This window comes from Homo sapiens, chromosome 5 (assembly GCF_000001405.40).
Source record: "Homo sapiens chromosome 5, GRCh38.p14 Primary Assembly".
NCBI classification, from domain to species: domain Eukaryota; kingdom Metazoa; phylum Chordata; class Mammalia; order Primates; family Hominidae; genus Homo; species Homo sapiens.
Window position 1 is genome coordinate 78,025,809 of NC_000005.10, and position 26,444 is coordinate 78,052,252.

The window sequence follows — 26,444 nt, forward strand, 5'->3', positions numbered from 1 at the left end:
ATGCCACTGCAGTTGGGTTTCTGTTACACACAACCAAATACAAAATCCAATATAACCAGTACATAACTCACTTTGTAAGCCAGTTTCATCTTGTAAGCAAGGCGTGGCTTATAATAGAACTAAGATGGAACATTTCCTCTTTATTTGGGGGAAAATTTACTTTCATTTACATGAGTGTTCTAGGATGTCCTCCAGTTTATAAGCATCTCCTTTTCTACCATTTTGCCTTCTTTTTGATTTATTTCTCTCTCCATGTAGCTTTTCTTTTCCTTTTTTCTTCACAACCCCTTTGATTAAACAGGGGAGAGACAGATTATCTCCATTTCTACACATAACTGCCTCAACTTGGATAGGGAATGTGAAAATGACTGATGATAGATGTAAATTTATCAGAATTAACAGTTACCAGATCAATGAAGCACTATTATTAGGGTAGCTTTAAATAGCCGAGCTACATAGGACCAGATGGCATAAAAGTTTAATGTAAGGCAAGATTCTACTTGGTACACATTTAACTGTAGCATATATTCTTGTAGTACATGTAACCTCAGTTCACGGATTCCTTTATAGGATCCAAACTGGTAAAGTTTGTAGGTAAGAGAAACGGGCAAGCAGCCTATTCTGAGACTCAAGTTTCTCATCTATGAATGAGTGACATTTACCTTGCAGGCTAGTTTTAACTATTAAAGGAAATAAAATGAAATAATGCACAGGAAGTACTCAAAACCTACATATGTAATAGGGATATATCATTATTTCATTATTCCCCCACAGATTATCATTTCCAATTTTTCTCCATTATAAACAATGCTTATACTTGGCTAGATCTATTTCCGTACAAGCACAAATACTTCTCTAGGCTTGATACACTATAAGTGAAATTGCTGAATTGAAAAGTATGAATATTTTACAGATATTGCCAATTTAAGATCCCACAAACAGCATACAAGAGTACATGTTTTTCTCTACCTTCCTGGTCAATACCAGACACAAAAGTTATTCTAAAACTTTGCCTATCTGATGGGTAAAATGTTTTAATTTTTATTTCCCTAAATATTAGTGATGTTGAACATCTTTTTCAAATGCAAGTTGGCCACTTGCATTTATTTTCTTGTAAATTGCCTATTCTTAGCCTTTTCCTTACCTTTCTACTGGATTCCCTTTTCATTGATTGTGAGAGCTACACGTTCTGGTTTTTAAACTTTTTTCTGCCAAATAAGCTGCACTGCTTTCTCATTATCTTGTTTATGGTGTCTACTTTTTCTTTACTTGTAGAGAAGTTTTAAATTTTTAATAGAAGAACCTGTTAGTTATTTTCCTTTATATCTTTCTGAGTACTGTGTCTTGCTTAAGACTTTTGTCCTCAGAGTATGAAAATATTTATCTATACTATATTTAAATACTTTTATAGTTTTTTATAATTAAATAATAAATCCACATGGAACTTGTTTTGGTATAATTTGTGGGAGGAAGCTACCTTGATTTTTTCCAAATAATGGTCCTCACACCATTTACTGCATGGTCTGTTCTTTCCCCACGGATTTGAAATGTCACCTTTATGACATACAAAATTTCTACATTTCTAAATTCTCTGGTTTCATTGGTTCTTGTGTCAATATCAATTACACAGAATAAAAATATTCTTGTGGCTTTAAGGAATATTTTTAAATTATTATAGAGAAAGACTTTTTTCACTAAAAATGTTGACTTTTCTTGTGCATTTTTTTTTCCAGCTGAATGTTAGAAGTTTGTCAAGTTTCTTGAAAAAGTCGACTGGCATTTAGCCTAGAATCACATTGAATTTGAAGATTAATTTGAGGTGCAATACTGTCTCCCATTTAAAAACACAGTATATTTATTTTTTATTTTGCTTATATTTCTTTATATTTAATTATATCTTCCTTTATGCCCTTTAGGAAAGTTCCAGGTTTTTTTCTCTCTACATAAGTATTTGTACCACCTTTCTAAACTCATTAGTTTAAATAATAGATTTTCTGTTGATTCCAACTTTATGGGTTAATAATTATGTTGAATAGGCCAGGAACAGTGGCTCAGGCCTGTAATCCCAGCACTTTGGGAGGCCGAGGCGGGCAGATCACCTGAGGTCAGGAGTTCAAGACCAGCCTGGCCAACATGGTGAAACCCCATCTCCACTAAATATACAAAAATTAGCTGGGCCTGGTGGCGCGTGCCTGTAATCCAAGCTACTTGGGAAGCTAAGGAAGGACAGTCGCTTGAACCTGGGAGGCAGAGGTTGCAGTGAGCCAAGATCGCACCACTGCACTCCAGCCTGGCGACAGAGTAAGACTCTGTCTCAAAACAACAAAAAAAAAGAAAATAATTAAATTGAATAAAAATTATAATTTTGGCTGGGTGCTGTGGCTCACGCCTGTAATGGGATTATAGCACTTTGGAGGCTGAGGTGGGCGGATCGCAAGGTCAGGAGTTTGAGACTAGCCTGGCCAATATGGTGAAACCCTGTCTCTACTGAAAATACTACAATTAGTCGGGCATGGTGGTGCGTGCCTGTAGTCCCAGCTACTCGGGAGGCTGAGGCAGGCAAGAGAATCGCTTGAACCAAGGAGGCGGAGGTTGCAGTGAGCTGAGAGCGCCTGGGCAACAGAGCGAGACTCCATCTCAAAAAAAAAAAAAAATTATAATTTTGTCTCTTCTTTTCCAGGATTTATACTGCAAATGGCGTTTACTTGCCTTTCTGTATTGGCTGGAACTTCCATTATAATGTGGAATATAGTGTGGTGAGCAGACATCCTTGTTTTGCTTTTCTGACTTAAAAGAGATTGTTTCTGATATTTCATGTGGCTATGGGTAACCTGTACGGGCCAGAAGTCATTTGAATTTATAACTACAACTGATGTCCATCTTCATAGGTTATCCTTTTGGGCTTTAAAATCAGGGTGATGTTAGACTTACAGAATGACATGGCATGATTTCCGTTTCTTTTGTTCTAGAAAAATTCTCTTTTTTAAGGTTCTGATACAATTTAATCGTTTTTATTCCTAATTTATATTTTTCTAGGAAATAATTTCATCTAACTACTCCAATTTACTGGTGTAGAACTGTATGGTATTATTTTGTAACTTAAAAGATCTCTGTGCTTTGTCATCTTTCTCCTCTCTAATCTTTCTTCGTTGTCTTTTTTCTTTAATCATATTATCCCATAGTTTTCCTTTTTTTTGTACATCCTATATGTTCTTTTAAAAAATGAGTATTTTCTGTACACAGGAAACAAGGAATTCTATGTAAACATATATATCTTAGATCAAGCTTGTTAATTAAATCATTAAACCTGTATGTATCTATACCTATTTAACCTTACTCTCTGATTTGTCCATTTCTGATGTGCATGTTAAAATATACTATGATTATGGCTTTGACAATTTCTCCTAGTATTTGTATTGTTTTCTGCTTTATAAATTACAAAAGTGCATGGTTTAATGGTTTGTAACAATTGTATTTTCTTGGAGGATTACAATGAACACAAAATATTTTATTATTACTTTTTACCTAAAATACTTCTTAATTTTTCTAGTTTTAGCACATCTATCTGATAAATGCATACACACACACACACACGCTCACACACACACACTTCATCTATCTAATCTCAACTTTTCTGTGCCATTCTCTCTTAGGGAGGTTTCTCATAAATAGCATATGTTAAATTTTGTTTTTTACCTGTTTAGTAAAAGTAGGATTTAATCTCTGACGTGAATTGTGAAAACTAGTATGTGTGGTGTGCATGGCCTCTCCAGCCACCTTTTTTTGTTTTATATTTGCCATGCTTTTTCCTCTTCCTCTTGGTTAAACTGACCAAGTTTTAAACATTTATTTTAAATTATTATTATTTTTTTGAATAGAGACAAGTTCTCGCTATGCTGGCCAGGCTGGTCTTGAACTCCTGGCCTCGAGGGATCCTCCCACCTTGGCCTTCCAAAGAGCTGGGATAACAGGTATAAGCCACCACACGCAGCTCTGATCAGGTTTTAATTACTCCCTTTCTTCCTACCTTTAGCTGTTTAGAAGTTATAATACATCACATTTCTATTATTTTAGTGGTTATCTTTAATAATTTAAACAATATTTAAACTAATTTTTGCCATCGATCAATTCTCTTCTCAGACATAACAAGAACCCTAGTATACCATCACTCCTCCTTGCACTTGTCTCTGTGGGGATTTTGGTTCCAATTTATTGTTAATATTTATTTTTCACATTATGTCAACAATTATTTTTATACGTTGATAAATTTCGTAGAATGCTTTGCTCACTACTGTTTTATTAATTCTATGTTTTTCTCTGTCTCTGATTTTTTTTTGAGGTAAGGTCTCACTATGTTACCCAGGCTGGAAAGCAGCGGCTATTCACAGGTGCAATCATCGCGCACTGCAGCCTCTAATTCCTGGGCTCAAGCTATCCTCCCGCCTCAGCCTCCTGAGTAGCTGGGACTACAGGCATGCATCACCATGCCTGGTTCTGTCTCAGATTTAAGAAAATATTCTATTACAGCATATCTTTGAGTAATCCTTTCAGAAAAGATGTGCAGGTGGTAAACTGATTGAATCCTTCGCTGAAAAATGACTATTTGGTATCTTCAAAATTTTAAAGGTCATTTCCTTTACCTTCTGGCTTCCAGAACTGATAAGAGTACTGATGTGAAATTTGATTCCATTCTCATTCTTGTCCATTTTTAGGTAAACTGCTTTTTTCTCTGCTTTGGAAGATAATAGGATATTCTTCTCCTTATCAAAAATTCACCAGGACGTGATCTTTTTCATAGTTTTTCATATTCACCCTGTTTGGCCCTCTTAATCTGAAGGCTTGCGTGTTTCTTTTGTTGGGGCACATGTTCATTCATTCACTCATTACGGGCAGGGATACACTCTGTCGCCTAGGCTGGAGTGTAGTGGTGCAATCATAGCTCACTGGAGCCTTGAACTCCTGGGTTCCAGTGATCCTCCCACTTCAGTCTCCCAAGTGGCTAGGATGACAAGTGTGTGCCACCATACCTGGCTAACCCTTTTTGATTTTTGGTAGAGACAAGGTCTTGCTATGTTACCCAGGCTGGTCTTGAAACTCCTGGGCTCAAACAATTCTCCCGCTTTGGCCTCCCAACGTGCTAGGGTTATGGATGTAAGCCACCACATCCAGCAGAAAATGTTCCTCTATAATTTATTTTCTAAATTATTTCTTCCCTTCATTGTCTTTTCTTTCCTGCCAGAGCTCCTATGAGATGAACTGATCCTTCTAACTTTCCTTATTTTCTGTCTCTGCCTTTTTGCTTTGTATTCTAGTTGATTTCCTTGACCCTTTCTTCCAGAACACTCGATCAGTATTCAGCTGTGTCCATTCCATTATTCACCTACTGAGTTAGCAACTATCATTACTATGGGTCTCCTCTCCCCTGGGTGGGCTGACTAAAGTTTTATTTTTTATAAGTGGACGAGATACTAACTGGTTATGTGGACATGAAGTTGGAGGCAGGCAGGTAGGAAATGGCCTTTCCTCCCCACCAGCAAACGTGACACTGGCTTTACCCTGGTGGTGAGGATCTGAGAATATTTTGGATACTCTCTTGGATAAAACTATATTTCATCTCATCTCTGACCATCCTTGCTTCCTTCACACAAACTCAAACCCTGCTCTGTTCTTGTAGGTCCCCACATCCACACCAAAACGTCTTTCCCAGGCAAGTGGCTCATTCTCTTTACAGTTTTATTCTTAAGTCTCAAATTAAATGTGTATGTTGCCTGCTGTCAGGGGTAAGATTGGGGAACTAAGGGGCTGGAAGCAGTTAATTCCCTGATGACTGTCTTAAGACCCCTACTCATGCTGTGCTTGATGTTCTGCCAGATTGGTTCTTACCATTATGGTAGTTTTCCCCCACGAGTGTTTTACCCTGTGATTTTTATTTTCTCTGTTATTGTTTATCTGCTCCTATTTGTTTTCTGTCAATAATGCCTCATAATTTCTGGTCAGCTAATGGCATCTGTTCTTATATTTTCAGTGTTCATTCACTATTAAAGAATGTATTTTCTTTTTAATGGATCTTTGGACAAAAACATGTGCTCAGTTCTCTAACTAGCACTAAGCTGTGTGACTTCCCACACTGGTTAATGCATGCATGCCTGTGGGGGATGAGGATCTGTTTATGTACTGCACTAACTTTTAGACAGATATATTTATGTATATTGCGCACATATTTGATCTCAATAAATTTAATCAAGAACTTAATTTGATGACCATTTAAAATCCAAGCAAAAAAGAGGCAAAAATGCTTATCAGATATACATATAACTACATGGCTTAATTTAACAGTTCTGTCTATATCTATTTATCCATAGATACAATTATAATGATATAGAATTAATCCAGAAGCTAAAGTAGGATCATTTTACTCTATTCTTTTTATTCTAACTAATAAAAGAGTATCTGACAGGCTTTTGGTCCATGTTCCCAGCATTTCTGAAGGCTTCTTATCAAATATGCTGTTATTACCCATAATTTTATGTATCGATTTGTATAATGTATTTCAAGGAAAAAATTCAATATCAGCCATTCTTGTTTCTTTTTTTCTTTTTATTGAACTACCAAGACTAATACAGCACATCACTAAGCAAAAAGTGCTATTTACTATGCAAAAGGCACAGTCAGTGATTGGCATCTAAGACCAATTGATCTACCCATTACCACTATCTCCCTACCCCCACAAGCATTACTATGAAGCTATTGATTTAAACACTGTCGATCGGTTTCCATTTTCTGATTTTGGGCAGGCCAATCAAGAAAGTGAGTAATTGTGATTACACTGCTTCAGGATCAATTACATTTGATGCAAGACAAAGTGCTCTTTTTGGAACACACACACAAAATTTTTGATCTAGCATGCTGTTGTGCTTAACAAAATCTAAAATAAATAATTTGTATCTTTATAATAACAAAACATACTAATGTAAATGCTTTTAATAGTCAAGAACATTTTCTATGTGAAATACATGAATTATTTTCCTAATGTTAGTTTGAAAGAAATTTAGAAAAAATATTATTCACATACACTCCTTGGCATAAGATAAAAATCAAATACTACCTGCATATATATCCATCCTTAAAGAGACTTAGTTAATTATGAAAGACAAAATGCAAATCCTGTTCAAGAGACTATAAAGGAAGTCTTTGTAAATAAAATTGGGGAAAAAAATCCAATTACATAGGAATCAAAAGGTTCTTTATACAAATTGATAAGAAAAAGGAATCTTTTTTAGTTCTTAATTTTGGTCTAACTTGGTACGTGAGCTTTGTCATTGGGTTCACATTGTCCAAATCATTAAAATGAATATACCTCTGGTGTCAGAGGCAAATCTATTTAGAGTGATGTTACTCATAGCCTGTTGTTCAGTAATATTGATCTGTGTTGTTTGTCTAATAGAAAAATAATAAACAATTACTAGGCAATGTTGGGAAAAGTAATCAGTTTTTATATATCACTAATACAGCAGACCTCCCAAAACATAAAGGTGATGATCTGCATAAAATCAATGTGTTATGCTACATTGCTTATATTTATCATTGCAGGTTCTCGGCAATAAAAGGTATAACATTAGGCCAGAATTACTGGTAAACTGAAAAGGTATATGAAAATGAAAAGTTCACTATGTTTAATCTATACATTTATTTTAAAATGTCTATTTCTAAAACTTCAAGACTTTTAAATCATAACAAATTCTGTTCTAAGCTAGCTAAAATGTAGGTAAAATGTCTCAATTCTTTTTAGAATAAAAACAAAGAAACTTCAACTCAAAATAGCCAATTGGGCCTTATATCAGAAAAAGAAAAGAGTTCAAAGATAATTCTCAATGATGCATGAATACGGCTTTGTTCTAATTTGCTAATAGCCTCTGAATTTCACAAGAAATGTATAAAGCATTATAGAAAAACATTAACAACAAAATCCAATCCTAAAAAAGCTCTTCTGAACAGCATTCAGCTATGAAACCTTTGCCAACTGCATAAATGTTCTCTTTTGACTTTTATCAAAGCAGTTTGTAAATGGATGTAAAAAGGAAAAAAAAAATGTGTGAGTTTTAGGTACTGATGGCATCAATAATATTCCACTTAAGAATCTCAAGATAACATGTATGTATATCTCAAAAGATATCTTCTCTGAGCTATTTAATAATATTATTAATGCTTTTAATTTCTCCTGGATTTTCCTCATGAATTTTCTCATAAATTTTCTAAAACTGGAGTGATAAGTTAAAAATTACTTAGTAGTAGCTTCTTTCTTTAACCAACAAACCATGGATTTCAATCACATATGGCAGGTTGTAATGGCTAGGTGTGTAACGAATGCTAAAAATACATATACTACACACAATTTGTACAACTATTCCAAGGCAGTCTAAACATTATCAAAGCAAAACATATTTGTTTAAATGTTTTGTCTTTCACACACACACAAAAGCTGTTGAAAGCTTAGTTTTTGATCTGCTATCCTTTACAGGTTATATAAAAAATAGAAGAACAATTGAACTTACCACAACTGGAAACTGGCAGTCTGAGTAGAATCACAAAAGTCAATACCCATTGAAACTGTAATGGATCCCTCAGGCTCAAGAGAGTCTAGGAAATAAGATAATTTAGACATGAAAACACAGAGGATGTGAAAAAGAGGCAAACTAAACACTGAAAATTTAGGTAATGTTTGTAGCTTGGTTGAAACTGTGAAATGTAATGATGGCTTAAAAATTTCAAACTAAGAATATTAAAGCAAATTACAAAGTAACCTAACTATTCTGTTTCAAGGTTTTCTTTTTCACAAATTAATTCTGCGCATACACCAATGAACACATTATACCCATTTGTTTCAGAAATACATATCTTCCTGAGAAATGTCATGTTTTCTAATATTATCTCTATAGGTACTGAAAATGAGAAGGAAATAAATGTGTTCTTGTTTCGCATACCTGTAATGGACTTTGGGAGTTCATAAGAGGTTATGTACTTAAAACTATGGCATGTTTATTCTAGATATAAAAAGTAAATTTTAAACAATGTCCAAAATTTTCAATGAAAAAAATCCTAAATTAAAAAATGTAAATCAAGTTGGAAGAAGAAATTAAGATGCACTCAGAAATTAATTAAGAGATCTCACATTGAAACCAAAATGTTAAGTCTAATTGCATTAAATACTCAAAAAAATTTGTGGCAGATTAGATTATCTTTATAAAACAAAAAATAAAATGACATTTGATAGATTTGGAATTTCAGAAGCTTCATCTATCAACTAACCAAGTATAGGAAATAACTATACCAATATACAATACAGTATTTTTTTTCAGTTAACAATGACAAAACTTAAGGCAAACAAGAACAAAATTTTATTCTGCTTATGATTTGAAAGTTTAGCTATATCTTAGAATAATTGAGGGGATCTTAAATAAATATGTATATATTTGTTTATATATAGAAACTGTCCATTTTTGATTTCTACTTTGCTCAAAGTATTCTGTATAATTGCAGCTATACCATACAATCACTTTATATTTAGCTTTATCTATTCTCTATACATCCTATCACACGTAGTTATATTTTAGCAAGCACACTTCTAATTCAATAGACTGTGACTATTCTAGGGCTTCTTGGTAAGTATGATTTGCCATTGAATGCTAACCACGACAGAGATGATGGTACAGTCGGGATAAAATAATAATTCAATAAGCTTCATTTATTAAGTATTATGTTTATATCTCATAGGCTCAATGAGGAGTAAGCATTACAAGAGAGTATTTGTTCAATGCTGATTTTAAAATGCTATTTGTTAGGCAAAGGAAGTATGTTAAAAATAAAAAAAGTAATAATTAAAATGCTATTTGCTCAGTGGTATGTATGTTAGTTTGCTGATTCTAGTTTGAATTTCATTTGTTTACAAACCTAACATTTTCCAGGATGCCACTCAAATACTAGAAGACTTGCTCCCTAAATCTCTAGCAAACAGGCTTTACTGTAGGGTAAATAACTATAATGATACATATGTTTTTTTCATTTCTCATAAAGCTATGTGCTGTCAACAGTTTAGAGCTTTGTCAGTCACACGCTGCTCCAGGCTATTCTTGAGTGAATTCTTAATGCCTTCTGTGCCATAACTATTTTGGGGTTTGGTCTTGTTTTTATCTGACACATTAGTAGCAAATTCCGTCATCTCCAAAACTTGATGGCTTTCATGATTTAGATCTCCCTTCATCATGTATCTTTGCATGTCATTTGACAAAGTGACAGCTCTCAAGATGCCTTGTTGATAGCACTCTTTGACACTGTTTGATACTGTCTTCAGTCTTAAGATAATTAACTGTGAGCTTAGTGCCATACTAATTCTGGGGGACAGTCCATGATCAATGGCATGTTTTATTATATGGATGCTTCAGGAGCAAAATGATCAGCATAAACTCATTCAAATAATGGATTTTTATAATACTTGGAGCCGACTAAACTGGGAAAGCTTACCCAATTAGGTGTCTCTGTTTGGACACCATTTCTAGATTTGCTCCTATATATTTGAGATGGCTATGTAGAAGTGGCTGAAAAACACTGGCTCTGTTACGCCACAACATTAATATCAACACATGAAATCATATAGGATGCCATTTACTTTGATGTAACAGTTGTACAGTAACTGGTAAAATCTTAGCTGAACTCAAATTTGTCAACCACTAACATAAAGCCACTGAATATAGTAAAGAGAGCTTAACCTATTCTTTGTGTCTTAAAAAAAACCCTCTTATATACTGGGTCTCTTTGGGGAAAATGGAATATTATTCCTAATATTCTTGTAAGGAATACAGTTTCATGCCAAACACAGAGTGAAATCCAGAAAAAAAAGTCATTGCACATTACAGACAAAACCAGATTGGTGGCAAATAAGAAAACTGCGGACTCCTTAATGTGTATACGTTCTTAAAAATAAATAAAACAAATAGCTTACCTCCCTTATTTTACTAAAACACTAAAATACAGTATTTGTTTTCTGTTGCATTCTTAAAATGTTTTTGGAGGACTAATTTAGACATATTATATTCCTTAACCCTACAATCTATTGATAATAGTGTCATCCAGGTGGTGTTACATACAAGTACATACTGCAGACAAAAGAACTCTGTATCTTGAAGGCATTCAATAAATGCCAACCAAATGAATGAAACATACAGTCACAAAAATTTGTCTAAGAATGACAAAGAAAAGCCTACAACCAATACTGAGGCAATGGTAAACATTCATATTTTATTTCTCTGTTAAAGTCATACTATGAAATTTATTATATTTATTTCTTCTATTCTACATAGGCCAACTAAAGGTCAACTCATCAACTCATTATGCCAGCTCAAAGAAAAATTAATACTGTTCTACTGCTTTAACCTTTGGATAACATTCTCAACCTTCAGACAATTCATGTATCAGCTGCTTGACACTTCCTAAACTAATTTTTTTTAACTAGGTAAAAAAGGTTGAATTACAAGCAACAAAAATAACACAATAATTCCTTGGCAATATATTAATGTCACACATTATATAATAAAAATTAGGATACTTTGTGTTCTTTAAATAGTGTCTTAATTATCAAAATATTTTTAAAAATTAAGTGGATTTTGAAATCAGCTTACTTTAACTCCACTTTCTTTGCTCTAGTTGCTTATAAAACTTTACCAGGCTTTATCAAAAATTATTTTATTCCTTTGTGTAAAAATATAACACACACACAAAATGACTTTCTTTACCGAAAGATTCATGAAAACCAGAGGAGAAAATTCAGCAATGCCAAAGAGCTCAGATAAAGAAAAATGGAAGAGTTATGTGAAACAATGAGTAAAGAAGGTACAATTACCTAATTTTACTTGATCCTGGTCAAAAGGCATTGTTTATCTTAAGTATTATAAAAAGGAGCTCTCTGGAGCATTCTGGTTATAACATTTGGAAGATACAATGACATAAACCTTTTATTACTTTTAATTGAGGTTTTGCCTGAAGCTTCTCTCAACTAAACCTTAGGGTTATCTCCACTTACAAAAACCAAAAAGAAAGAGATAGACATTCTAAATATTACACTATTTCAAATTTCAAAGTAAGACACACAATTGTTACATTTAATGTTTAAAGGGTATATTTTTAGCAAAATACTTAAAAAATGCAAAGGGGATGAAAAATGGCCACTGACACTTTGTTGGAGAGACAACAGGATGCGGTGGGCACAGAAGCAACCTGGAAAGTGCGAGCCAAAGCTGGGGGCAGCCGCTGCTCAGCAACCCACTCATTGGTTGCTGCATGTGGGGATAAAGGGCCAGTACTGCCATATTTTACGCTCTGCTCCAAGAAAAGTGAGATTTCTCATTTTTTAAAATGTAAAAGCATCTTCATTTTTAAATGGTGGCAACAGATTGAAAACATGTAAAAATTGGATGTGGATAAATACCAGTGATATCCTCTAGGCTACTGTATATTCTATACATGGAGAGGAAGATAAGCAGACTAGTCTACATCGGGGGTGTGCAATCTTTTGGCTTCCCTGGGCCACATTGGAAGAAGAATTGTCTTGGGCCACACATAAAATACACTAACCCTAATGATAGCTGATGAGCTAAAGAAAAAATAATCGCAAAAAAATCTCATAATGTTTTAAGAAACTTTATGAATTTGTGTTAGGCTGCATTCAAAGCTGGCCTGAGCCAGGTTGGTCAAGCTTGGTCTATATCCTCTCAGTCTTCACTCCCTTCACTTTCCCATAAATTGAAAAGTGAAGGGAAACAGGAAAGGATCTCGAGATACGAGAAGTATTGTATTCAGAAATGCAGAGCGATTTTCTTGCTTTTAATACACAATAAACCACTTAAAATTATGCAGGGAATGAAGCTGACCAGGAGGAGAGATGGGGAAAGGTGACACAGGTAAGTAAAACATGATGGCAATCTTGACTCTGCAGACCTAGCCTTCCATCACTACTGGTATTACTATTACTGGGACCTGATTCACTAAGAGCAAAGAAATGTATTTATCTTATATGATAAATTCAGTTTAACAAGAAAAAGCAAATATAAACTGAATATGCTAATTGTCAATACAATCATATTCTACTTTACTATTTTACTAAAAAGTATTCTACTTTACTTTTAAAATGAACATATTTAGTGATCAAATATAGTTAAGGTTTTAAATGAGAATTAATATTTACCTATTGGATTAAAAACATGCATTTTCATGCCTATAGGAAGTTTTTTTTCCCCTATGTGGATATTTTCTATCTTTCGATCAGTAGTGTTATTCAGTGTTATTTGTATAGAGACCATCTTATCACCAAAAATGCAAGGCTGTCTTGGAAAGAAATAATGGGCAGCTAGTCCTTTTCCACTCATTCGATGAAGCAGCACGTGAGTTTTCGTTGGTACAAATGCAGGAGTACTGACCTATTACACACGGCAAAAAGAAAAAAAGATGAGTTAGTGAATATAATTATTCTTTTAGAAAATATGCAAACATTTATGACATTTAATTCTTGGTTCCCCTACAGTATTATATGAACTACAATAACAAACATTAGTAGGATATCACACACATAGATATTAGTCAGAAATGATACAAAGAAGTAAATGCCCTCAAAACTGTATGAAAATTTTTCTGTAAGCGGCTGGGCGCGGTGGCTCACGCCTGTAATCCCAGCACTTTGGGAGGCCGAGACGGGGAGATCACGAGGTCAGGAGATCCAGACCATCCTCGCTAACACGGTGAAACTCCGTCTCTACTAAACAAAATAGAAAAAATTAGCCAGGCATGGTGGCGGGCGCCTGTAGTCCCAGCTACTTGGGAGGCTGAGGCAGGAGAATGGCGTGAACCCAGGAGGCGGAGCTTGCAGTGAGCCGAGATCGCGCCACTGCACTCCAGCCTGGGCGACAGAGCGAGACTCCGTCTCAAAAAAAAAAAAAAAGAAAAGAAAAGAAAAAAAAAAGAAATTTTTCTGTAACCTCCAAGCATATATTAATATTACAAACATACTCATTTTTTTTTTTTTTGCTGGGGGGCAGGGATTTATAAACTTTTTTGTTAGTTTTTTTCCCTAGATCCTCTATATTTGGCCATCTTGCTAACTTTCTTATTGGTTTTAACAGTTTGTCAATTGATTTTCTTGGGTGTTTTAGCCAACTACCAAAATGAACGTCTGGACCTTCATTTCCAATCCTGACTCTTTGAACTGTTTTTTTGTTTTTATTTTCTTTTACTGTAAACTGAAGACCATGGCCCCCAGGATAAGGTGGCTTCTTCCTTTGCCTTAATGATCTCTACTTTGAGATCAAGTTAACTATTCACTTATATTTTCTTCCAGACCTTTGATGGTTTCAAATTTTAATTCATATGGAATTGATTTTGATATATTGACTCCATATTTAATTTTCTCCAGATACTGAACTAATTGTCCCTACATGAGCTAATGAATAGTCTTTTCTCAATGATTTTAAATGCAAAAATTCTAATTATTTATGTACTAGGAGATATTTCTGGGCCTTGATTGTCCTGTTAAACCAGTCCCATATTGTTTTATTTTTTGTAGACCTACAATATAATTCAATTATTTGGTAAAACAAATATTTCCTTATTTCCCCCTCCGAATATTTTCTTGGTAAATCACCTTTTACCCTTCTATTGAACATTAGACTCTTAATTAAATTCTTCCCTCAATCTCATTTTCATTGAAATCATAGGCAGCATATTAAATAATGAAACACTGTCCATTCTAAAACCATGTGATAGCTTTCTTTCCATTCAAAATATCAGTATTGCATACTAGGCTTGACCTGACATGGGCAAGCATTAAAAAAAAAATCAATTTGTAATTAAACAGGCTTGATTAAGATTTTTTCCTGACAAGTGTTGTCTCCCAACTAGATTCTCTATTATAGTTCTGAGAGTATATATCAACCTATTAAACATTTTCACTATGCCGTGTACACCTGATGACATTACAAACGTAGCAATTATAGTAATGATTTAAAGTTCCACAAAAATCCAAGAGTTAAATATCATATATACAAAATGCTACATCATGCCTTCTAAGCATCATCAAAACATAGTATTCTTTCTCTAAAAGTGCAACAAAAAATGTGGGCAATTTAAAATAATCATCACCTCTGGCCAGGCGCGGTGGCTCACGCCTGTAATTCCAACACTTTGGGAGGCCGAGGTGGGTGGATCACCTGAGGTCCGGAGTCTGAGACCAGCCTGATCAACATGGAGAAACCCTGTCTCTACTAAAAATACAAAATTAACCGGGTATGGTGGCGCATGCCTGTAATTCCAGCTACTCTGGAGGCTGAGGCAGGAGAATGGCTTGAACCTGGGAGGCGGAGGTTGCTGTGGGCTGAGATCGCGCCATTGCACTCCAGCCTGGGCAACAAGAGCAAAACTCCGTCTCAAAAAAAAAAAAAAATCATCACCTCTAATCTCAGCACTTCGAGAGGCCGAGGTAGGAGGATCACTTGAGCCCAGGAGTTTGAGAACCAGCCTGGGCAACATGGTGAGATCCTGTCTCTAGAGAAAATGTAAAAAATTAGCTGGGTGTGGTGCATTGCGCCTGTAGTCCCAGCTACTCAGGAGGCTGAGGTGGGAGGATTGCCTGAGCTCAGGAAGTTGAGGCTGCAGTGAGCCATGATTAGGTCACTGCACTCCCGCCTGGGTGACAGAGCAAGACCCTGTCTCAAAAAAAAAATAATAATAATAAAATAATAATCATAAAAATTTATGGGATAGTTTATTTGTAAAATATAATAAACAATTAGCTAAATTTAAAATTTTGGTTATATAAAATAATAGGGCTACTGGCCTATTCATTCTATTTAAGCCTTCTGATGATGATAACAATCTAGTATTTTAAGTTTTCAAAGCACTTTCACTTCTAAGGTTAGGTTCTTTTCCTTGAATAAAAACTATTTTCAAAACTCTTCTGTTTCCTTTCTTTCTTTTCTTTTTTTTTGAGACAGAGTCTCGCTCTGTCGCCAGGCTGGAGTGCAGTGGTGCGATCTCAGCTCACTCAGGCAGCTGCAGACTCTCCTTGGTAACTGAGACCAGGCTTTTCCCATCAAACTCCTTGAGCTGCTGCACGCAGTACTCATCAGTGGGCTTGGCTGTATATACTAATTCAAAGCCCCACTTCTGCACTTGCTCCACAAACACAGAGCTGGCCACCTGCTCTTTGCTCTCACCAGTGATGCTATAGATGGATTTCTGTGCCTCTTTCATGCAGGAGACATATTTTGACACAGATGTCATCTCATCTCCAGACTGGGAAGTGTGATACTGCAGCAGCTAGGACATGCGTCACTGGCTAGTGGAGTCTTTGTGGATTCCAAGCTTTAGATTTTAATTTTTGAAATTCTAAAATTTTATTTATTTTTTTTTTATAGATAGGGGTTTCACTCTGTCATCCAGGCTGGAGTGCAGTGGTGCAATCATAGCTCACTGCAGCCTGGAACTCGTGGGCTCAAGTGATCCTCTTGCCTCAGGTAGCTTGGACTACAGGTGTGTACCACCATGCTGGGTTAATTTTTTTTATTTTTTGTTGTGATGGTGTCTTGCTTTGCAGCCCAGGCTGGTATCAAACTCCTGGCTTCCAGCAATCCTCCTGCCTTGGCCTCCCAAAGTGCTGAGATTACAGAGGTGAGATACCACAACTGGCCCAAGCTTTAGATTTTTAGATAAGGCCTCATTGAATTTCTTGCAATTCTCCTTGTCTTCTGCCACCTCAGAGAACAGCTCAAGGCACTTCTTAACAATGTTTCTGTGAATGACTGTTAAGATTCTGCTCTGTTGGAGCATTTCTCGAGAGATGTTCAGGGGCAGATCCCAAGTCAACCACACCAAGGATTAAAGTTGAGATACTCTTATATCATCATGGCTGTCCATGATGAACACATGATGGACACAGAGTTTGTTGTTCTTTTTTTCTTCTCATTCTCAAAGAAGTCAAAGGGAGCCAAACAAGGGATGAACAGCAATGCTCTGAATTCCAACCAACCTTCTACAGAGAAGTGCTTGACTGCCAAATGGTCTTCCTAGTCACTGGTGAAGCTCTTGTAGAATTCTCTATACTCCTCCTGGGTGAATGTCATCAGAGTTTCTGATCCAAATGTTCTTGATCTTGTTTAGTTCTTCCCAATCAATGATTTCTCCTTGATCTTGTTGGTTTTCTTTTTCTTATCCTTACCATTGTCCTCCTCTTCATCTGAACCCACCCACATCTTCTTCAATCTTGGACTTTTTCTCATCATCTCTATCTGCCTTTTTTTGTTTGTTTTGAGATGGTGTAACACTCTGTCGTCCAGGCTGGAGTGCGGTGGTGTGATATGAGCTCACTGCAACCTCCACCTCCTGGTGGATCCTCCCACTTCAGCCCCACAAGTAGCTGGGACCTAAGGTGCGCACCACCATGACCGCCTAATTTTTTGTATCTTTTAAAGAGTTGGGGTTTCACCATGTTGGCTAGGCTGGTCTCAAACTCCTGAGTTCAATCGATCTGCCACCTCAGCCTCCCAAAGTCCTGGGATTACAGGCATGAGCCATTGTGCCTGGCCTATCTTCCTCTTCTTTCTCACCTTTCTCTTCCTCTGCCTATCATCACTGATTTTCTCCTCTCTTTCCTTCTCCAAAGAAAGGGTAATGGGATAGGCTATGAACTGTAAGTGCTCTTCACTACTTCTTTGACCTTCCTCTCTTCTAAGTACTCTGTCTGGTCTTCTTTAAGGTGGAGGGTCACTTTGGTACCCCTGCCAATGGGCTCTCCATGGTCAGCACATACAGTGAAGGAACCCCCAGCAGAGACTCCCAGGCATACTCTTCATCATTGTTGTGCTTTGTGATCACAACTACTTTCTCTGCCACAAGGTAGGCAGAAAAAAAGGCAGCACCAAACTGCCCAATCATGGAGATATCTACACTAGCCTGAAGAGCCTCCATAAATCCTTTAGTACCAGGGAATACACCCTGACTTTGGTAGACACAGGCATTGACATGACCAAGGCTGATCTCCTAATTTGGGAACCATTACCATGGGTTGGGGATGATGTTAACTTCCAGCTCTTTACCATTGTCCAACTTGGAAGGGTTTGTCAGGCTCTTACAGGAAATCTTGTCCAATGCATCAGAAACATTAGATCAACCCCTGAAGGAAAATCTCCTTGTTAGAATAGAAGGTATTGATGACGAGAGACATGAGTTGGGCAATATCTGCCTGAAAGGCAAGTTTCCAGCTCCTCCGCTCCACGTGCACTTTCTCAGGCATCTCGAAAGAAAAAGGCTACAAGTACTAGAGAGCAAGGTGGGCTGGGACTCTCCGACATGCACATGGCACCAAGGCTGTACTGGGATGACTCCAGAGCTATATATTTTATATTTATAGATTTATACTCAGCAAAAGTTTTCTTTTTTGCCATAAATTCCCATGCTACTAAGGCTATGATAATCAACCTTAAATATAAGCTCTTATCTGGCTAATTATATTTTTCAGTGTTACATGTTTATTTCCTTAATGATAAGCATATTAGAGACAGTGACAGGTCTTACTTTTATTCTACATTGTTCCACAAACATATTTGTTATCAAATCATTAAATAAATGTTGATGTAGCCAGCTTTATCTCTGTGGAAATTCATAAAAAGTTGGCCTACATATAATATCGGGGAAAGAAAGCTGAAACTGTAATGTAAAAGGGAAGACTATTTGAAAGTTGGAGAAAGGCAAGGGTAGAGGAGTGGGACTAGAGCAGAACAGAACAAAGGTCTGGTTCACAGCGGCCAGGAATCAGTACTGTAGATATCATACAAGGTGGTTAGAAGTATGCCTTTAGTCATTTAAGAGCCATCAAGCCTTGGCAGACTCACTGATTCCTTCTCTCAGTCTAATCCTAGGATGCATGGTCCAAACATTTATTTTGTGTTTTCAACTTTGTCTCAAAATTCTACAGCTTTATTATAATTATCAAAAAATATGTTAAGGGATGAATAAAGAAAGAAAAACAGTATAATTCTCTCCACTCATTCTTTCCACATTCAACCAAGTTCAAGGTAAAAAGCATTCTCTAATGAATTCACCGTCTAAAAAGGCCCTCCCTTACAACCTCCAAAGGTTATCTGTGATAATTCCCAGAGGTCTATGCACTCTTTCACAATAAACAGGATCATAAATGACACTTCGTGGTAATAATATATACTTGTTTAACTACAGAAAGGTAGTAAATGAAAACATAGCCAGGTGTGGTGGCTCATGCCTGTAATCCCAGCACTTTGGGAGGCCAAGATGGGTGGATCACTTGAGGTCAGGAGTCTGAGGCCAGCCTGGCCAACATGGTGAAACCCCATCTCTACTAAAAATGGAAAAATTAGCTGGGCGTGGTGGCATGCACCTGTAATTCCAGATACTTGGGAGGCTGAGGTGGGAGGACTACTTGAACCCAGGAAGTGGAGGTTGCAGTGACCTGAGATAGTGCCACTGTCCTCAAGTCTGGGTGATGAAGCAAGGCTCTGTCTCAAAAAAAAAAAAAAAAAAAACACAAAGAAAAAGAAAATGTTTGATTACTTTTTTAACCTTGTTTCCTAAGTTTATACAAGTCATATTACGCCAAACTTCTCCAGCATCTAGATAAAATACATAGGTGATATTTTGTTCAATAAACCGAGTGGGTTCCATAAATACTTCGACTACTTCCACATATAATACATTTAATCCAGTGTTATATTAATATTAACATATATTTAGACTTTAGTTCAATATTTTGTACATCAGACCAGATACCTATATTCCAGAAATACATATGAGATCTGTGGCTGCTTATATTCTAAGATGCTCAACATTGCAAATGGCGTTCTTGACTTCATATTTTATAGACAACAATGATTTTATTAGATGCAAAAAAAGATAAAACATAATTATAAAGTGATCTAGATTTGGGCTGTGAAAATGAGGGTTTAAGAAAAAGGGAAGATTTAATAAGTCTAAACACAATACATGTAGGGCAGAGGTTGCAAACTATAACCCACAAGCCAAATATGGCCTGCTGCCTATTTTTAAAAAGTATCACTGGAACACAACCATATTCTTTCATTTACATACTGTCCTTGACTGCTTTTTTACTCTACAATGGCAGAGGTGAGTAGTTGTAATACCTAAAACATTTACTATCTGGTACCTTTACAAAAAAAGTTTGCTGACCCCCGATCTAAGGGCACAAATGTTAGATCCTTGCCATTCCACTTCCCTTCCCTTGTTGTTGGAAACAATTCTCTACAGCAGAGGGTCCCCAGTCCCTGGGCTATGGACCTGTACCAGGCCATGGGTTGTCAGGAATCCGGCCGCACAGCAGGAGGTGAGTGGCTGATGAGAGCAAGCATTACCGCCTGAGCTCTGCCTCCCGTCAGATCAGCAGTGGCATTAGATCCTCATAGGAGTGCAAACCCTATTGTGAACTGCGCATGCGAGGGATCTAGGCAGCACGCCCCTTATGAGCATCTAACGCCTGCCTGATAATCTGAGGTGGAACAGTTTCATCCCAGAACCATCCCCCTATTCCCAACGGTCCATGGAAAAACTGTCTTCCACAAAACGGGTCCCTGGTGCCAAAAAGGGCTCTACAGGTCTCACGTCTTCTGAGCAGAAACATTAGCAACTTTGCTTCTGAAGCTCTTTTCAAAGATGTTTCCACAGCAAACAGCCTTTGGAAGACAGAGGTAATGCCTCCCTCTGGGGCAGGTGATAGATTTGTTTGTTCATTGTCCAGGATTAGAAAGACAAAATCTCCCTCTGGGGCAAAGGCTGAATAGATTTGCTAACAGTCCCCTTATAAAAGCCTAGAATCTTTTTTTTTTTAAAATACTTTAAGTTCTGGGATACATGTGCAGAATGTGCAGGTTTGTTACATAGGTATACACGTGCCAAGGTGGTTTTGCTACACCAATCACCCTGTCATCTATATTAGGTATTTCTCCTAATGCTAGCCCTCCCCTACTCCCCCAACCCCCAACAGGCCCTGGTGTGTGATGTTCCCCTCCCTGTGTCCATGTGTTCTCATTCTTCAGCTCCCATTTATGAGTGAGAACATGCGGTGTTTGGTTTTCTATTCCTGTTAGTTTACTGAGAATGATGGTTTCCAGCTTTATCCATGTCCATGCAAAGTACATGAACTCATCCTTTTTTATGGCTGCATAGTATTCCATGGTGTATGTGTGCCACATTTTCTTTATCCAGTCTATCATTGATGGACATTTGGGTTACTTCCAAGTCTTTGTTATTGTAAATAGTGCTGCAATAAACATACGTGCACATATGTCTTTATAGTAGAATGATTTATAATCCTTTGGGTATATACCCAGTAATGGGATTGCTGGGTCAAATGGTATTTCTGGTTCTGGATCCTTGAGGAATTGCCGCACTGTCTTCCACAATGGTTGAACTAATTTACACTCCCACCAACAGTGTAAAAGTGTTCCTATTTCTCCACATCCTCTCCAGCATCTGTTGTTTCCTGACTTTTTAATGATCCCCATTCTAACTGGTGTGAGATGGTATCTCATTGTGGTTTTGATTTGCATTTCTCTAATGACCAGTGATGATGAGCTTTTTTTCATGTTTATTGGCCACATAAATGTCTTCTTTTGAGAAGTATCTGTTCATATCCTTTGCCCACTTTTTGATGGGGTTGTTTGATTTTTTTTCTTGCAAATTTGCTTAAGTTCCTTGTAGATTCTGGGTATTAGACCTTTGTCAGATGGATTGATTGCAAAATTTTTCTCCCATTCTGTAGGTTGTCTGTTTACTCTGATCAGGTTCCTCTCCTGTAAAGCAACACAATGCATGTGCAGGCTTCACCTAGCCTTCAGCATGTGGGGCTCAGAGAAGTGATGCAAATGATGCTACTCTGGCTACTTCTATTGCTTTAACAAACTGTCCTTTGTCTCTGACCAGGAGTCTTGTGTCTTCTACCAGCATTCATGAAATTGTTGCAAATTAACTAGTTAGCTTGTAAGTAGGGTAACATCTCAGACTCTTCACAGTTCTTGATGCTTGATTTAAAAAAAATAATTTAACAATTCCCAGAGCCGCTTATTTCAAACAGCTAACACTTAGACCACCATATACATCTGTGCAGTGGCAACTGACTGAAAGGGTGAATAGGAGCTAAAATCCAGCTTACATTCAAGGGAAACTTTTTGGAATCTGCGCAATGGTGCCATACAGGCTAGTGGCTTTACTAATCAGAATACAACTTTACAAAGTAGAGGTTACTTTTTTCTTTTGGATTTCCTTTATGAAAATCCATGTTATGACTTTAATTATTCCTGTGGGTTTCTGAAGTATCAGAAATGTTCTGATAGCCGACAACAAAGTGTTGAGTAAGTCCAATGACAATGCAGAATAAGAATTCATTGTTTCAGAATTGCTTTTATTTGGTTCAAGACTAAGTGCTGGCCTTTTGAGGAAGCTTTGCCCCCAATGCTTCTTTACCCTATAGTGGTTATGTATGAGACTGTCAGCCCAACATGCCCTACTATTTTCTAGAAACACATTCAGCCCATGATGGAGCTGGCAAGTTCTTATGCCTCCCCATGACTGGCTGCAGTTAACTGGTTCAGGGATGGACATTTGGCCCAATGAGTTCCTTTCCTAGGATTTTTGGATTTGGTACCTAGTAATTTGAGCCAGACTCTCTCAAGCAGCTAAAATTCTGAGATTTAAAACTCTAATTTTGTCTGTGGCCACATTTCCTGCCACATTGTTCAGTGAGAAAAAAAAATAATAAAGCAAATTTCAAAGAAAAGCATAGATGAGAGACAGAGAAACTAGCTGGTAACTTTGAGCTGGATGGTTCTTGATGCCCAGACACATTACTGTCCTTGCTGAAGTTGTTTTCTCTGAACTGTAGCTGTAATTTCCTATTTATTTATTTACTACTTAACCTAGTTCAAATTGGGATTCTATCATCTATCTCCCCCACTCTACTACTGGTTGGGATTAGTCAGATTTCAGGACACTAATTAGAAGGGGAAATAAGCTTGTAATGGGAGAATGCCCCCTTCCCCCACTTTCTCTAAAGTCCTGGTAGATATGGAGCCAGGAGATCACAGACTCAGGTAAGGCTTTTGATTAGACTGAACCATATGTATCTGCCATATCTGTAGGTCAAAAACAGTCAAACTATCAATTTCATGTGACTCAACTAATAATTTGTTTTGCATCAAGGCTACTTAATTCTACCTTTAATAGAAAAGAACTTTGAGTCCTTGATGTGGGCCAACCTAACTCACTGGAGTTCTGTATTGCGGTTAGAGAGCAAGGCCCACAATAACAACAAAGTACGGCTTTGCCTTTCTTTGTCCTCTGACCCTATGTCTCCCTTGGGCATCTTGGGGAGAAAGGTGGTAACGTGCAAGAATTAGGTATTTCACAGCTCTCTGTCCAATAAGAACACCGTTATTTCAAACACAAAGTAACTACAAATCATTAATCATTACTCACCATTAATTTATTAATTCATTCTTTCATGTAAATAACATTTATTCAATGAGTTGTACCAGCCCTGTGCTAAGGAGTATGATACAGAGACAAAGCCAAAGTATCCTAGTCCTCAAGAAGTTTATTGTTTAGCCTGGGAAAACAGAGTAAATCAACTAGTGTGATAAATGTCATGACAGAAGCAGGCTCAGTAGGCTAGAAGAACACAAAAGTCATAGCTGACACCTGAGGGAGTCATCATGGATGAAAACCCAGTTATTTTAATGAAATAATCTGGCTATTTCTCACTACTGCCACTGTGGCCAGCCCGGTCTGAGCCACCACCACCTATCATCTGGATTATTCCAACAGCCTCCTAATTGGTTTCCTTGTTCCTACCCCTGCATCTTATTGAACATAGACTGAATTGCTATGTTAGTCTATCCTGAACACAGCAGCTAGAATGTATCAGTTAAAGTTACATCATGCACTGGGGTGATGAAATAATTTGTACACCAAACTCCGTGATATGAGTTTACCTGTATAACAAACCTGCACATGTACCCCTGAACCTAAAATAAAAGTTAAAAGAAAAAGAAAAGTTGTATCATGTTACCCCTCTGCTCAAAACCCGCCAATGGCCAGGATCCTTGTTCCATTTCCTTGATCTTGTTTCCTATTACTCTTGAACTCGTTGTTTATTCTACTCATCGCCATGACTTCCTTGCTATTCCTTTTGCATATTAGTAACAGTCCCACTATAGGTTATTCCCTGGGACCCTCTACCTGGAAGGCACTTTCTCCAGAGACCCACATGGCTCAGCTCTAGTATGTCTGCTCAAATATTACCATCTTAGTAAGGCTTAACCCATTGGCATCCCTCCCTTCTGATTTCCTTTTTCCTTTTTTATAGACACTTAATACCTTCTCTAACACAATATATAATTTACTTTTTTGTTATGTTTATTACCTGTCTTCCCATCTACTTCCCACTTTTATGCTCAATGTATTAAACTTAATTTTACCCTTTCTCAGAACTCAAAGCATAATTTTACTATTTTAAATGATTATGGAAATTTGCAAATAATATACCTCTAGTGTTGGTCATAACTATACATTATTTAATGCTGAGTGCTCAATTATAACAGTGTCCTTAAAAATACTACAGCCTTATAGGAACACACTGTGGTGATATGTGGAGATCTTCTATATTAATATTTGTTGGTTTTATGATATAACTTGAATTTTCTATTACATAAAATTGTGAACAAATAAAGAAGTACATTTCTTAAATGCACAAAGAACAGCTTATTGAGGGACTTCTATAATTCAAACACTAATTCTTGAAATGTCTACTTATAAGTGTATTATTTTATTAAAACTTATATAAACAAGAGTATGAAAGACAAAGTTTGAAAACATTAGTTTTGATTTAATTGTTTAACGACTAACATTCAAAGAATTAAAAACTTAGATGCATTATAAGCAAATGATATAGGTCATCTTTACTATGGCTCGTGAGGAAGTAATTAGTTCAGTAACTGCAGTAACTGTAAAATAACAAGCCTCCCCCAAGAGTTAACAGAACAAAAAGCATCCAGTAACAATGAGATAATCCTCTACAAATCTTTACACAGCATATGTTTAAATAATAAAAGTCGTTTGTGTACCTTTAGATGGTTTATGAAAATAAGCAATCAATTCTGCAGACACAACATTATTTCTAAAGGAAATCTATGTGACTCATGATGCCTGTAGATACACAGAGACAAACCACACATATTTTATCAGTTTATTACAGTAAGCAAATAAGCGTGGAATGAGAGTGCACATAACTGTCTACTTAGCGCTTACTGAAACATTTATAAGAGCTGTTATCTCCCTAATAACAGACAGACAGCGTGCAATTTTAGAGAGGAGAAAAGCTTCATATTTTTTAACACTTCACTAAAAAGTAACTGAAGAGTGTAAAATGAAAAATACTCTGTGCAGTTAGCTGGTAATGGACCATATTATCAACTCAAGTTAGATTTATAGGATACAAACTAGTCACTAATAGTTATTTTATGACATAGCATGTCTGCTTTTTTTTGAGATTATTAAGATTAAAGTTGTAAAACTTCTTTTGAACATAGCTGTTCAAAATGATTGAATTATAAAATTTAAAATGAGATTCGAAAAATAAAACATGGAATAGCAAGTAAGTGCCTTGGAATAAGCCTTGTTCAGCATCCACATTACTATTCAAAGATGACATTTCCACGTAAAGCTTTATGAAAACAATGTTTCCCAGCCTTTTATGCTTTAATCCACATTTAGTTACCCAGTCATTAAGTATTATCAATCCATTCTGTTTTTGAATTTCAAAGATATGAAAATCTGCAGTATATAAAATGCTCTTTGTATCTAGTTTTGTTTGGCTTACTTTACATCAGTATCTATTTTGATATATAATTTATAAAAATGACGAGGTAAGAAAATAGCTATAAACAGAGGCACAGCTTCATCTTTAAAATTAGTACTTTTAAAACCAATGTATGTCTCAATTGATAAGATTTGTAATGCAGAAAGTCACAGTATTGTCTCATTTATCCTATAAACTGTAGAAAGTGGGTCTTGATTTTACCTTCAATCCATTTCATTGAGGCTAGCATTAACCTAGTATTGACCTAGAATAGGATTTAAAAAAGTAAACGGCAAATTTGGTTAACTCTTACATATAAGCACAGACTCGAAGAAATATATTTGAATCTTCCAGCAAATATTACTTCAAATAAATGGTTTTTAATACTAAAGATAACTTCTTCCTTATGTATATAAATTTTGATATACAAATTTATGATAATTTCTCATATTTTATTTTAGTAATCACTATACATTATAAAGCACACAAGACTTTCTCACCTCTTATTTTG

At 36.3% G+C, this 26,444-nt stretch overlaps 1 protein-coding gene and 1 pseudogene across 2 annotated transcripts in view, besides 1 other annotated feature; both read right to left on the minus strand.

The window, feature by feature from the left end:
• The window catches only part of AP3B1 (adaptor related protein complex 3 subunit beta 1), a 294,177-nt gene that overhangs the window by 25,287 nt on the left and 242,446 nt on the right, over positions 1-26,444 (minus strand). For both annotated transcript variants that reach the window (NM_001271769.2, NM_003664.5), the window contains exons 23-24: positions 13,235-13,466; positions 8,553-8,637 (exon numbers count right to left, since the gene is read on the minus strand). In NM_001271769.2, coding sequence (NP_001258698.1) covers positions 8,553-8,637; positions 13,235-13,466 — 317 coding nt within the window. The remainder of the gene's footprint in view (positions 1-8,552; positions 8,638-13,234; positions 13,467-26,444) is intronic.
• Positions 16,072-18,424, minus strand: LOC100422441 (heat shock protein 90 alpha family class B member 1 pseudogene; annotated as a pseudogene).
• Positions 20,134-20,710: an enhancer, noted in NCBI's record as "OCT4-NANOG hESC enhancer chr5:77341766-77342342 (GRCh37/hg19 assembly coordinates)". NCBI's record gives its function as "activates a minimal SCP1, AML or CMV promoter by ChIP-STARR-seq in primed H9 embryonic stem cells {active_cell/tissue: H9 hESC(primed)}" and the evidence as "EXISTENCE:reporter gene assay evidence [ECO:0000049][PMID:30033119]".